Source organism: Homo sapiens, chromosome 17 (assembly GCF_000001405.40).
Source record: "Homo sapiens chromosome 17, GRCh38.p14 Primary Assembly".
Classification (NCBI taxonomy): Eukaryota; Metazoa; Chordata; class Mammalia; order Primates; family Hominidae; genus Homo; species Homo sapiens.
Window position 1 is genome coordinate 8,669,982 of NC_000017.11, and position 14,762 is coordinate 8,684,743.

The following is a 14,762-nucleotide window of genomic DNA, read 5'->3' on the forward strand; positions in this document are numbered from 1 at the left end:
GTAAAGTTCTTGTGTTTTTTTTTTTTTTTGTTTGTTTGTTTTTTTTTTGAGACAGAGTCTCTCTCTGTCCCCTGGCTGGAGTGCAGTAGCGCAGTCTCAGCTCACTGCAACCTCTGCTGCCCAGGTTCAAGCAATTATTCTGCCTCAGCCTCCCAAGTAGCTGGGATTACAGGCGTGCGCCACCGCGCCTGGCTAATTTTTGTAGTTTTTTTAGTAGAGACGGGGTTTCACCATCTTGGCCAGGCTGGTCTTGAACTCCTGACATCATGATCCACCCGCCTCGGCCTCCCAAAGTGCTGGGATTACAGGCATGAGCCACCGCACCTGGCCGCTCTTGTCTTTAGAGCAGGACATTGTGAAGGTTATTCGAGGGGCTTAAAAGGTTTTGTTTTGGTTCATGGCCTAATTTTAGCTTTCCGTCTTTCTGAAAAGTTAAGATTTCTTCCCTTCTGAATAAGTGGGATGTTATTATAATGAAATGCACAAGTTCCTTTAGAACATGCTATGGCAAGCTATCCAAGTTAGAGCTGTTGCTGAGGGAACCAGGCAAAGCTTGCTTAATGTATAAACCTGGTTATTATATTTAAAATTCAAGCAGCAGCCAGAGATTCCTATCGGGAGAGGGAAGACTTTACTTTTGAAGAGGAAAAGTACTTAACTCCTAGAGGAAAGCGTCATTCCTGAGGTTTACCCTCATGGTCTGGAGACAAACACGTGGGACTTTTCTTTTTTGTGTGTGTTTCTAATAGTGGAAGAAAAGGAAAGCCAGGCTAAGCAGAGAAAAGTGGAAGAGGAGACACAGCAGCTCATTCTTTCCCAGTAGCCGTTAGACTGATTGCGGAGGGGAAGGTCAAAAGAGAAGTTCACAACTATGATACCAGCTCTAGAGGCGAAAGAACAACTGAGAGAGAACTATCCAAGAAGTGTTTGGATCCCGAAGCACAAAGGTGAGGAAAGAGCAAAATATGGCTTTCCCTCATAAAAGAAAATACAGCTGACCTCTGAACAACAAAGTGGCGGGCGTGGGGCGGGGGCGGGGGGGGGGCGGTTTACTCGCGCCGACAACCACGCAGCTGAAAATCCACGTACAATTTTTTTTTTACTCCCCCAAACTTTACTAATAGCCTTCTGCTGACTGGAAGCCATGCTGATCACATAAACAATTAACACATATTTTGTGTGTTATATGTATTATATGTTGTATTCTTACAATAAAGTAACCTGACTGGGCACGGTGGCTCACGCCTGTAATCCCACCACTTTGGGAGGCCGAGGCAGGTGGATCACGAGGTCAGGAGTTTGAGATCAGCCTGGCCAACATGGTGAAACCCTGTCTCTACTAAAAATACAAAATATTAGCCGGGCGTGATGATATGCACCTGTAGTACCAGCTACTCGGGAGGCTGAGGCAGAAGAATTGCTTTAACCTGGGAGGCAGAGGTTGCAGTGAGCCAAGATCGCACCACTGCACTCCAGCCTGGGTGACAGAGTGAGACTCCGTCTCGGGGAAAAATTAAAAAAAACCATATATATATATATATATATATATATATATATATATATATATATATATATATTAGTAAGCCAAAGGCCGGGTGCGGTGGCTCATGCCTATAATCCCAGCACTTTGGGAGGCCAAGGTGGGTGGATCACTTGAGGTAAGGAGTTCAAGACCAGCCTGGCCAACGTGGTGAAAACCCATCTAAAAATACAAAAATTAGCCGGGTGTGGTGGTGTGTGCCTGTAATCTCAGCTACTTGGGGGCTGAGGCAGGAAAATCGCTTGAACCCAGGAGAAGGAGGTTGCAGTGAGCTAAGATAGTGCCACTGCACTCCAGCCTGGGCAACAGACCCTCTCTCAAAAAAACAAAAACCAAAAAGCCCCCAAAAAACCCAATAAAGTAAGCCACAGAAAATAAAATGTTATTAAGAAAATCGTAAGGGGCCAGGCACAGTGGCATACGCCTGTAGTCCCAGCTACTCCGGAGGCTAAGGCAGAAGAATCGCTTCAATCCAGGAGGCGGAGGTTGTGGTGAACCAAGATCACACCACGGCACTCCAGCCTGGGCAAAGGAGCTATACTCTATCTCAAAAAAGAAAAAGAAAAAAAGAAAAAAAAGAGAAAAAAATCATAAGGAAGATAAAATATATTTGCTACTCCTTAAGTGGAAGTAGATCATCATAAGGTTCTTCATCCTCATCACCTTCACATTGAGTAGGCTGAGGAGGAAGAGGAAGAGGAGGGGTTGGTCTTGCTATCTCAGAGGTGGAAGAAAATCCACGTATATGGTGGACCTGCACAGTTCAAATCCGTGTTGTTCAAGAGTCAACTGTAGGTTAAACAATTAAAACGTCGAGGTCAAAGGATGAAGACATTAAGTTATCCTCGTCTCAAGCTAATGTCTCCTTCCCAGACTTCTCCCTCCCGCCGCCCTCACCCTCACCCACCACCCTGATGCCTGTGGGAGGGGAACCACAATAGGCCAAAGAATCCTAGATTTCAAAAGATCACCCAGTTTGTCATGGTTATTTAACCGTTGCAGAAACCAAGGCCCGCAGAGCTCAGGGAGGAATTCGAGTCCTCACTCCTAATCCAGCATGCTTTCCCACTGTATCATCCAGGGCAGGGACATCCCTGGAAAATTCAGCAATGTTCTCACTTAATAGTACTCCGCCCCCAGACTTATACAGAGCAATCTTTATTTATTTATTTATTTATTTTTTTGAGAAGGAGTCTTGCTCTGTTGCCCAGGCTGGAGTGCAGTGGTGCAATCTCGGCTCACTGCAAGCTCCACCTCCTGGGTTCACGCCATTCTCCTGCCTCAGCCTCCTCAGTAGCTGGGACTACAGGTGCCTGCCACCGCGCCTGGCTAATTTTTTGTATTTTTAGTAGAGACGGGATTTCACCGTGGTCTCGATCTCCTGACCTCATGATCCGCCCACCTCGGCCTCCCAAAGTGCTGGGATTACAGACTTGAGCCACTGCGCCCGGCCGAGAGCAATCTTTCCAAAGTTTGCTCCACAAAACACTAGCCCAGGAGATGCTCTATCATCCAGCAATTTCACTTCTGAATCGAAGTGGGGACTGGAACAGATATGTATGCTCCCCTGTTCACAACATCATGATTCACAATAGCCAAGAGGAAGAAACAACCCTAATCTCCATCAATGGATAAGTGGATAGATAAAATGTAGCATATACATATGGTCCTACAATTATTCAGCCTTAATAGGAAGGATATTCTGACACTTGGTGCAACACAGATGAAGCTTGAGAACATTATGCTAAGTGAAATAAGTCCAACATAAAAGCACAAATATTACACAATTCTGCTTATATGAGGTAGCTGGAGTAGTCAAATGCATAAAGACAGAAAGTAGAATGGTGCTTGCTAGGAGCCAGGAGATCAGGGAATGGGGAGTTACTGTTTAATGGATACAGAGTTTCAGTTTGGAAAGATGAAAAAGCTGTGCAGATGGATGATAGTGATGATTGCACATTGTTACAGCGTGAAGATACTTAATGCCCCCGGAATGGTAAACTTTGTGTTACATATTATTTTACCAGAATTTTTAAAAGGAGGACAAAATGAGAAGTGTTTCACTAATTAATGGTATCACCAAACAAGCAAGTCTGGGGAGGTCTGATTACATTTTCCTACACACACACACACACACACACACACACACACACTTGCCCTGGCAAGTCACAGTGCACATTCAATAAAAGACCCAGAGCAGTCCTAAATCAAAGACTATTTAATTCAATTTAATCAAGCATTTCCTCAACAGAACACAGAGCCCTTTTTATTTTTGTGGAACATGATTAACAGCCCACATCCATGGTGCGTCCCTTGGGAAATGCTGATAAGGAGCTTCATACTGCTCAAAGCATTTCCTCTGCTAGTACCTCACTGAATACTTCCTGCTGGCCAAAAAGACAGTCCCTAACAGTTAGAGCTCCAGAATCTTTATTGACTATTGGACAGTCAGTGAGTTAGTCATTAATTGTCTCCATTTTATTGATGAAGAAACTGTGGCCCAGGAAAGTCAAGCCCTAACCCAAGGTACTGCAAAGCTGCTCTGCCAAGATCAGTGGTAGAGCCACACCAAAACCCCAGTTTTCTAAACCCTGTCCTGGGCTGTGCCTCCCCAAACCCAGTGCTGATCCCCTGATGCTCCTTCTGGGTGTCCAGGTGTAAGCAAAGCAAGTTCATAGAAGAGCCTCAGAGCTCTGGGGTTGCTGGGAACACCAAAGGGGACAGAAGGACTCAGGGACCATAGGCCCCCTTAAAGGTTAGTGCTCCAAGCCCCAGTCTCTCTTTTCTCCTCCTTTCTGCAAAACAGGGCTAGGGAAGCTCAGAGATATCCTGTCACCAACAAGCAATCCCTGACTTTTCCTGATGTAAGAATGTAATACACCCCTGACATCATAAGACTCGTCCAGGGTGCAGATTAAGATATAGACTCCCAGGCCTGCCTCCTGGAGATTCTGATTGAATACGTCTGGGGCAGAACTTGGGAATGTTTTAAACAAACATCCCAAGGAATCTTATCTTGGAGGAAGAGTGAGTACCCCTGACCTTCACACTAAAAGGGACCTCAACAGAATACCTTCTGGCTCAGCTCCTTGCCCCACGGGTAAGACAGCTGAGTCTCCACAGAGCCTGCGTGACTGTCCAAGTTCACATGGCTACTTTTTTCCAAAGGCTTTAAAAACACAAACAAAAGCCCAATGTTCATTTCCTTGAGGAAAGAGGCAGGTCTAATTTTTAAAATAAGAATTGATTTCTATGCTCCTCTGTCCCAGCACACCCTACATCATTCCATCCCTCCCTGCCCAGCGGAGACCACTTCTCAGGGCTCTCCTGCCCCTGTCCTGTTCATTGCGAGCAGGTCCAACCACTCTGGAAAATGTCCCGGCCATCTCCCTCACTATAGACCTAACCGACTGCAGTGTTGATCCAACTTGCTTTCTGAGCGTTGATGGAGACCAAATGCTGTTTGGCTTTTGCCCCGCCCGCCCCATTTCCATCTGAGTAGCAGTCAGACCATCTCAGGCTCGAACTATGCTGCAGGAGGAAGCCGGCAGCCGAGTTCTCCCTTCCCAAGGAGCTTACCCCCACCCTCCCGGCTGGAGAACCTGCCACCCCAGCCCAACGCATGAGACAGATGACCCAGACAAGGCCGGGCACACACACAGCATTCCGTCGTCACTTGGCAGGTCCTTGTCAAAGAGCAGATGGAAAAGTCTGAGGACACTCAATTCCCCAAATTCCTTTTCTGAGAGCTCTACCCTGTCTCAGCTCCAAAAAAATTAGTCTTTTCAGACTAGTTAAAACCCAGCCTCCCTACTTACATACACATCAATTTTCTTTGCTTTGGGTCCCAGGAAGGGGGCACTGAAGCGATCCTCTTTTTGTGGCCCCAGAGTTGTCTGCCTGTCTCCCTGCCTGGTGAGGGTTGCTGCTCCTAATCAGAAGGTCTTACGGGCCACAGGTTCATCTCAGGGGGGCCTCAATGCTCCCCGTGGCCCCGGAGTCCTTGCCAGCCACAGGAGCACAGCTTGGAGTCGCAGATCTGACTTCAAACCTTGGCTTTCTGGCTGCGCGATGGGATTGTTGAATCCTTCTGGACCTGCTTGCGCATTTGTAAAGTGGGGAGAATCTTCTTCCCACCATTCAAATGGGGAGAAAATCATCTACTTTGCAAGGTTGTCATGATAATTAAACAAGATGCTGTGTGCAAAGCGCTTGGCATACAGCTAAACAAATGCTCAGGAAACAGAGGTGACCATGATTTCCTTGAGCTCTCCAGACTTCTGTCACCTTCACCTGGCTCCCCTTTGCCACAAAGAAAGCCAGGTAACCTGAGATGGGACCCAGATTATGGCCATCATACAGCCTACATTAGAGGTCTTAATTTGTGAGTTTTCATGTAAGATATACATGAGGGATATAAGAACACCTGAAATTTGATCTAAGAATGTGTAATTTGACCCTTTTTTTTTTGGAGACAGGCTCTCACTTTGTCACCCAGGTTGGAGTACAGTGGCGGGATCTCTGCCCACTGCAGCCTCAACCTCCCAGGTTCAAGCAACCCTCCTTCCTCAGTTCCCCCAAGTAGCTGGGACTACAGGCACGTGCCACCATGCCCTGCTAATTTTTGTATTTTTTGTACAGATGGGATCTCGCCATTTTGCCCAGGCTGGTGGCATGACCCACCATGCCTGGCCTGTAATTTGATCTTTTCTTTTCTTTTCTTTTCCTTCCTTCCTTTCTTTCCTTCCTTCCTCTCTTTCTTTCTCTCTCTCTTTTCTTTTTTTTTCAGAGATCTGTCTCTGTCACCCAGGCTGGAGTTCAATGGCGCAATCTCAGCTCATTGCAACCTCTACCTTCTGGGTTCAAGTAATTCTCCTGCCTCAGCCTTCCGAGTGGCTGGGACTACAGGCACTCGCCACCACACCCAGCTAATTTTTGTATTTTTAGTAGACACGGGGTTTCACCATGCTGGTCAGGCTGATCTCGAACTCCTACAGGCCACTGCACCCAGCCATGTAGTTTGATCTTTATTGCTAAATTGTATCCCGGGAAGGTTGCATCAGTTTATACTTGCATCTCCAATGTAAGAAAGTGCCTGGCCTCCCTGCCCCCTCACCAACAAGGCCTATCCAGGTCGAGTATTCCTTATCTAGAAGTGCTTTGGATTTGGGATTTTTTTCAGATTCTGTAATATTTGCATATACAAATGAGATATTCTGGGGATGGGACCCAAGTCTAAACACAGAAATTCATGTACACCTTATACACATAGCCTGAAGATAATTTGATATAATATTTTAAATAATTTTGCGCATGAAACAAAATTGGTGTTAAGTACTTATGTGTGGAGTTCTCCACTTGTGGCATCATGATGGAGCTCAAAAGCTTTGGATATTGGAGCATTTTGGATTTTGGAGTTTTGGATTAGGGATGCTCAACCTGTAGCAACACTTTCTTTTTCTTTTTTTCTTTTTTTTTTGTCGCCCAGGCTGGAGTGCAGTGGCGTGATCTCAGCTCACTGCAACCTCTGTCTCCTGGGTTCAAGCAATTCTCCTGCCTCAGCCTCCTCAGTAGCTGAGATTACAGGCGCGCACCACTACACTGGCTAATTTTTGTGTTTTTAGTAGAGACAGGGTTTCATCATGTTAGCCAGGCTGATCTCGAACTCCTGACCTCGAGTGATCCACCTGCCTCGGCCTCCCAAAGTGCTGGGATTACTGGCGTAAGCCACCACACCCGGCCTGTAGCAACATTTTTAAAGGCAACACCAGTTCAAAGAATTACCTCATTGTTGTTCTGATTGGTGAATTTGTGATTAGTGGTGAGGTTGAAGTTTTTTCATATATATTGGACAATTGTATTTCTTCTTTTGTGATATTCTTTTTTTTTTTTTTTGAGACTGAGTTTCACTCTTGTTGCCCAGGCTGGAGTGCAGTGGCTCAATCTTGGCTCATTGAAACCTCCACCTCCCGGATTCAAGTAATTCTCATGCCTCAGCCTCCCGCGTAGCTGGGATTACAGGCATGCACCACCACACCTGGCTAATTTTGTATTTTTATTAGAGACGGCGTTTCACCATGCTGGTCAGGCTGGTCTCAGACTCCTGACCTCAGGTGATTCATCCACCTTGGCCTCCCAAAGTGCTAGGATTACAGGCATGAGCCACCACGCCCAGCCCTTTTGTGATATTCTTATTCCTGTCCTTTGTTTATTTTTCTAAGGCTTCTTTATTTTTTGTTAATTTACAATATTAAGATTGTGTTAACTTATAATTAATTTATTAATTTATAATTTTATATAAAATATAAATCATTTATATAAATATAAATTCTGTCCTACATGAGGTAAATTTTTTTCTGACTTTTAACATTGACTTTCATGTCTTCTGAAATTTTACATTTTTAGTTGGTCAGAGCAATCTCTTCTTTTGTGATGTCTGCTTTTGATATTATACTAAAGACCTTCACCCCAAGATTATATAAATATTTACTTATATTTCATTCTAGTATTTTTCTTTTCTTTCATAGATTAGTACTGTTAGTTCATCTAGAACCATGCTGTGCCCTAATGGCTATGTAAATTTAAATTTCAAGCAATTAAAATTAAAAAGTGTGGCTCCTCAGTGTACTAGCTCCATTTCAAATGCTCAGTAGCCATTTGTGGCTAGTGGCTGCCATGTTGAGAAGCACAGGTGTAGAATATCTCCACCTTCACAGAAAATTCTACTTCTACTGGACAGAGCTGATCTAGAATTTATTTCGTGAACCATGCAGAAGGGCAGGGAATCCAACATTGTTCAAAAGAGTTCATGTAATTGTTTCAATATCATCTTTTGAATAATTCATCACTTTGATCCTGATTTGAGATGCTACGTTTACTATTCATAAGTCTAGTAATACATACTTGGCTCCATTTCTGTACTTCCTACTCTTTCTTTATCTATCTTCCTAATCCTCACCAGGACCACACAGTTTCAACTATGATAATTTTACAACATATTTTAATGTTTAGTAGAGCAAATTTTTTTATTTATTTCTTATTCTTTTTTAAAAAAATCATGGGCAATTCTCACACTTACGTTTCCAAACTTTAAAATAATTCCGTAGTTAGGAGTTGGAATTGCATCCATACAATAAATCAACTCATGAAGGGCTGTTACTTGTCACCTGTTTCCCCAACTTCCTGCACTTTCCATCAAACCCTGCACTCTAACTAGACTTAGCCAGTTGCTTTTCCACCAGCACACACCAGGGCACGCTCCTCACTGTGCCCTCACTCCCCAGGCTGGTCCACTAGGAAATTCCACTTGTCCTGTTAGCTCAAAGCTCCCTTTCTCTGTGAAGCCCTTTCTGATACCTCTGGACAGAGGTAGGTGCTTCTCCCAATTTCTTTTGTCCATTCCTATGTTGGAACAATTATCTTGTTATTTTACATTTGTTTGTTTACAAGTGTGACTTCTCACTATGATAAACAATCTGAGGACAAGTACTGTGTCCTTTCCATTTTGAATTTCCAGAACCTACCAATAGCACTTTGGCTCAACAAAAATGTATTGAATCAAAAAGCATAACTCAAGTCACACTGGAAAAGTTAGCTACAACCTTGAATGTAGGTATCTGCAGGCTTTGCCTAGGACAGAGCTGTACTGTGTTCATTTAATCTGGCAGTGATGTTTTAACTGAATTGGGGTGTGGAGGTGATAGGAAGCCAAGAGACTAGTTAAGAGGCCATCAGACGGGTTCAAGGCAGACAGAGTAAAGGCCTGAATAAAGGATGGCTGCTAGGGCTTGGGAAGGAGGAGACATTGTTGAGGGATGACGCAGGGTTAGAATTGTTGGGAGACTGAAGACAGACAGAGCCAAAAATGTGACCAGGGACCTAACAGCGTCTTTCTGCAATTTATTCTCATGGACTTTTCAATACTTGTAAGTGTTTTTGTGTCATTCACAAACATTACAATTTTACCATATTTACTATGAAATTTTACTATAAAATCAAAATGAATTATTGTAATGTCACCAACGATTGTTCTAGAACTAGCTTAGTCAAGTCACTTAAACTCTTTGTAACTGTTTCCTCATCTGTAAAATTGGTATCACACTATTACTTCCCTTAGAGGGCTGTGGTGAGGCTAAGATGAGCTAATACTTGTAATGTGCTTAGAGCAATGCCTTGCACATAATAAAAGCTCAATGATCACTGGCTATTTTATTTTGTTTTATTTTTTGAGACAGAGCCTCTGTCTGTCACCCAGGCTAGCGTGCAGTGGCGCCACCTCAGCTCACTGCAACCTCTGCCTCCCGGGTTCCAGCGAGTCTCCTGTCTCAGCCTCCCGAGTAGCTGGGATTACAGGCATGCCCCACCAATTTTTAGTAAAGATGGGATTTCACCGTCTCTTGGCCAGGCTGGTCTCGAACTCCTGGCCTCTCAGCCTCCCAAAGTGCTAGGATTACAGGCATAAGTACTGTGCCCGGCCCATTGGCTATTTGAAAGATTATTATTCATACGTTTCCATCCAGAGAAGCACCCATTTATCCTTGCCACTAAGGTAGCTTCCTACCTGTGACAAAAAACCACCAACCATCCAATGACTCATGGAGCCTTACATGGCACCACTTGTCAAAGACTTTTTGAAGGCTGAAGTCTATTACATGTATATATGCATGCAATTGGGCAAAGAAACTGTCTTTCCCCTGTGAAGTTAGGTTTGTTCAAGGATCTCGTTACCTCGCTCTGTTCAGAGGTGTACCTGGTAAAAATTGGTCTCTGTCTCCTTTGAGAGGCAACGTGGTGCAGCTGAACAAGGATGGAGCTCTTGGAGTTCAGGGTGTAATTAGGGGATGGAGGGCCATCTAGATGGAGAAGTGAGAAGAGGCCACCCCAAAACAGATCCACTCCTGTCCCAGGAGAAGTCCAGAATGCTATTTTCCTACACGGCTCTGGGGTGGGTTAGTTTCACTGCTTCCATCATCCACCAGAAGAATGTGAGTGGGAGAGGGAGGAACTGGAGGTTGTAGCCATCTTCTTCTTGCCTCCAGAGAGGGATCCAAGAAAAGCTGTGATGCCCCTGCTAGCCAGAAACTGCTACTGTCAGCAGATTTTAAAATCCCGAGAATTCAGGTCAAAGGCATCTCATTCTACACATTGCTTTGTAGAATCCTCAGAATCTATGGGCTGCAGTGCAGCTACTGGCTGTGTTGGCTTCATTTCACCCATTTTTATGATGAATCCTGCCATATTCCCCAGAAAGAAAGTGAGACATGCTGATGTGTTTATTACATAAGAGCCATGATTACAGCTGTTACCATCTTGTGAGAAGAAAGTGAGAGGTTCCAGGGTGTCTGTCACAGGTTGTACCACCTTGCTCATAATGAAAATGAGATATACCTCTGTATTTATTATTGATTTTGTCCTCTTACTCAGAATGAGGGTGAGAGGTGTCACTGTCTGCAGCAAAGCTTCTACTGGTCCTCCTTGTGAATGGAGGCTAAAGTGGCAACGTTCAATGCCAAGTCAGTTGAGCTGGAACGTTCTCTCTCATCGGTTCCGCTCTTGCCTCTAGACTTGCCTGTCTCAGGCCTCCAGGACAAGATTCTGACTTTGAGGTCTTTGGTTAGCATTTCCACGTTCACAAGGGGTCACACTAACAGTTAATGCCTTTGTGCTGAAACAAGGTCTTCACTGTGCCTCTTTGGGCGAAAACAAAATCCCTAGACACAGAGTTGACTTCCAGAAAAGGCTCCCGTGCTAAGTCAGCCAACAGACTCCAGAGCTAATCGGAACCAGATGTGAGTTCTTTCACTTAAATATATTACAGGTCACAGATTTATTTTTTGAAAGCACCTATAACAACAATTAAAGTCATAAAATGTGTTTTCCCTGGATATTTTCTCATAGTCGACCAAGCGATATAGTCTGATAAGTTGGGGCTAACCTATGCCAAAATCAACATATTTGCTTTGTTCGAAATCTGCAGAATATGTCTGTCTGCGGAGGTGCGCTCTGGTCAGGCCAGGGACAGCTGCCAACATACAAACAGTTTCCTAAAATATCCCCTGCATGCAGGAACGATAAGCAGACCCCATAGATCTGTGGCTGAGAGGTGGGGAGAGAAAAGCCTGGGGGAGAGAAATAGAATGAGTGGCATTAAGCATAATTCGGGTAATTTGGCAGATACTTCCTGCGTTTAAAAAATGGAGTCTATAAAGAGTTCAGCAATGGCCGACAACTTTCTCCATACCAGTATCGCTGCCAAAGTTCAGATGCTGGGCTGATGTCCACCTCTGGGAAGGACTGCTAGCAAATTCATGAGTTGTTCTTTCATCTAAAGTCTCTTACCAAGAAATTGTTTTTGGGAAGAGTGGTCCATGGAAACGGGTCTGGCTTCCAACGCTACACGCCAGCAAGCAGGGACCTCCCTGTCCCCATGATCGCCCGCCGGTTTTGGGGCTTGTTCCTTTACTTTTGGGCACCATTTCCATCCCAATAAATATCCCATTTTCTTTTTTCTTTTTCTTTTGAGACAGTCTCGCTCTGTCGCCCAGGCTGGAGTGCAGTGGCGCGATCTCGGTTCACTGCAAGCTCCGCCTCCCGGGTTCACGCCATTCTCCTGCCTCAGCCTCCGGAGAAGCTGGGACTACAGGCGCCCGCCACCACGCCCGGCTAATTTTTTGTATTTTTAGTAGAGACGGGGTTTCACCGTGTTAGTCAGGATGGTCTCCATCTCCTGACCTCGTGATCCGCCCGCCTCGGCCTCCCAAAGTGCTGGAATACCGGCGTAAGCCACCATCCCTGGCCCCAAAATTTCCCATTTTCCAACAGTAGACTCTGAATGCCATCTGGTCATAGCCTGTTTTTTGTGTTTCCTTTTTCTTTTCTTCTTCTTCTTTTTTAAAATATAATTCAACCCAACTTTATTTTATTTTTTATTTAAATTATACTCTTAAGTTTTCGGTTACACGTACAGGATGTGCAGTTCTGTTACATAGGTATACACGTGCCATGGTGGTTTGCTGCACCCATCAACCTGTCACCTACATTAGGTATTTCTCCTGTTATCTGTCCCCTAGCCCCCCACCCCCCACAGTCCCTGGTGTGTGATGTTTCCCTCCCTGTGTCCATGAGTTTTCATTGTTCAACTCCTACTTATGAGTGAGAACGTGCGGTGTTTGGTTTGCTGATCTTGTGACAGTTTGCTGAGAATGATGATTTCCAGCTTCATCCATGTCCCTGCAAAGGACATGAACTCATCCTTTTTTATGGCTGCATAGTATTCCATGGTGTATATATGTCACATTTTCTTAATCCAGTCTATCACTGATGGACACTTGGGTTGGTTCCAAGTCTTTGTTATTGTGAATAGTGCCGCAATAAACATACATGTGCATGTGTCTTTATCGTAGAATGATTTATAATCCTTTGGGTATATACCCAGTAATGGGATTGCTGGGTCAAATGGTATTTCTAGTTCTAGATCCTTGAGGAATCACCACACTGTCTTCCACAATGGTTGAATTAGTTTACACTCCCACCAACAGTGTAAAAGCGTTCCTATTTTTCCACAAGTGTTTTGTTTTTCTTATATGCACTTTGGGAACTCTTCTTGGCATTAATTATCTTTTTAATTAATTAATTATTTTTTGAGAGAAGGTCTTGCTCTGTCACCCAGGCTGGAATGCAGTGGCACAATCATGGTTCACTGCCACCTCGAACTCCAGGGCTCAAGAAATCCTTCCGCTTCAGCCTCCTGAGTAGCTGGGACTACAGGTGCACCACTGTGACTGGCTAAATTAAACAAAATTTTTTTTTTTTTTTTTTTTTTTTTGTTAAAGATGGAGTCTTGCTTGCCTAGGCTGGACTGTAACTCCTGGGCTTAAGGGATTCTCCCGCCTCGGCCGCCCAAAGTGCTGGGATTACAGGTGTGAGCCACTCGTGCTTGGCTGACACTGATTGTCTTTGATGTCCAGTTTCCATTCTTCCTGCTTTTGGTAATAGTCGCCCATTTCCATCCGGCAAAATACCCCTCCCCACTCCCAGTCCTGTGACCCACAGGGGTTGCTAACACTCCACTCTCTCCCACCCCCACCACCATCACCACACACACCCCCCATGTACCTTGGGTCATACATGCCCTAAGCCTTGCCAAAAGAAAAGGATGAATTCAGTGAACACCTATGATCAGTGGAGCTTTTAGACTTCAGGTCCTTTCTTCTTAGAAATTAATTTCTTAAAATAGTGAATACATTCACATGGTTCCAGAAAAAGCATGGGAAGTTGAATAGTAATAAAATAGAAAACTATAAATCAAAAAGTAAATAAATTGAAAATTTGATAACAGAACAAGACATTTGCATAGTCTTCAAGTGCTTCCCCACAAAATCTCATTTGTTAGAAAGGGAAAAAGAGGAATTTTGCCAAGGAGAACCCTGGCAGACACCACATTAATAAAGCGATTAATGTTAATGTCATCGGTAATGGGACAAATTGTAATTGTGTGCCGATTGATAGATGCAATGAGAAGGTCATATGTCACTCCTGTGATATTCCCGCCAAAGATTTGTAAGCTGAATCTAATCATGAGGAAATATCACAGCATGCCTATGCCTTGGCATAGTGGCTCACCCCTGTAATCCCAGCACTTTGGGAGGCCGAGGCAGGTGGATCACCTGAGGTCAGGAGTTCGAGACCAGCCTAGCCAACATGGTGAAACCCTGTCTCTACTAAAAATACAAAAATTAGCTGGGCGTGGTGGTGCCTGCTTGTAGTCTCAGCTACTTGGGAGGCTGGGGCATGAGAACCGCTTGAACCTGGGAGGCAGAGGCTGCACTGAGTCAAGATTGTGCCACCGCACTCCAGCCTGGGCAACAGAGCAAGACCCCGTCTGATTATTGGCCTGTAATCTCTCTGGTCTTGAAGGCTACGAAAAGACTGAGAAACGATCCAGATTGAAAGAGAATGAAGGCAACATATGATTATGAAGTGGATCCTTTTGCTATAAAGGACATTATCGGGACACTTGAAAGGTAGAAATATATCAGTGTTAATTTCCTGATCTTGTTGATTGTATTGTGCATATGTGGGGGTTTCCCTGTAGGAATTTAGATACTAAAGTATCCACAGGTGATGGGGCATCATATCAACAACTTACTTTCAAATGGTTCAGGAGAAAAAGATATTTTTTTACCATGCTTGTAGCTTTTGTGTAAATTTGAGATTGTTTCAA

The 14,762-nt window shown here is 44.4% G+C and overlaps 1 long non-coding RNA gene across 4 annotated transcripts in view, besides 2 other annotated features; it reads left to right on the plus strand.

The window, feature by feature from the left end:
* Positions 1–600: 600 nt before the first annotated feature.
* LOC105371525 (uncharacterized) overlaps positions 601–14,762 on the plus strand; it is a 50,875-nt gene continuing 36,713 nt past the window's right edge. For 3 of the 4 annotated variants that reach the window (XR_001752781.1, XR_934213.3, XR_001752783.2), the window contains exon 1: positions 601–947. This is a non-coding gene — a long non-coding RNA (uncharacterized LOC105371525). Of the gene's footprint in view, positions 948–14,458; positions 14,563–14,762 lie in introns of those variants that run through there. The other variant, XR_001752784.1, reaches the window with a different exon arrangement.
* Positions 2,022–6,980: an enhancer, noted in NCBI's record as "VISTA enhancer hs2548". NCBI's record gives its function as "enhancer in: other[3/7]" and the evidence as "EXISTENCE:transgenic organism evidence [ECO:0001131][PMID:17130149]".
* Positions 5,374–5,924: an enhancer, noted in NCBI's record as "H3K4me1 hESC enhancer chr17:8578673-8579223 (GRCh37/hg19 assembly coordinates)". NCBI's record gives its function as "activates a minimal SCP1, AML or CMV promoter by ChIP-STARR-seq in primed H9 embryonic stem cells {active_cell/tissue: H9 hESC(primed)}" and the evidence as "EXISTENCE:reporter gene assay evidence [ECO:0000049][PMID:30033119]".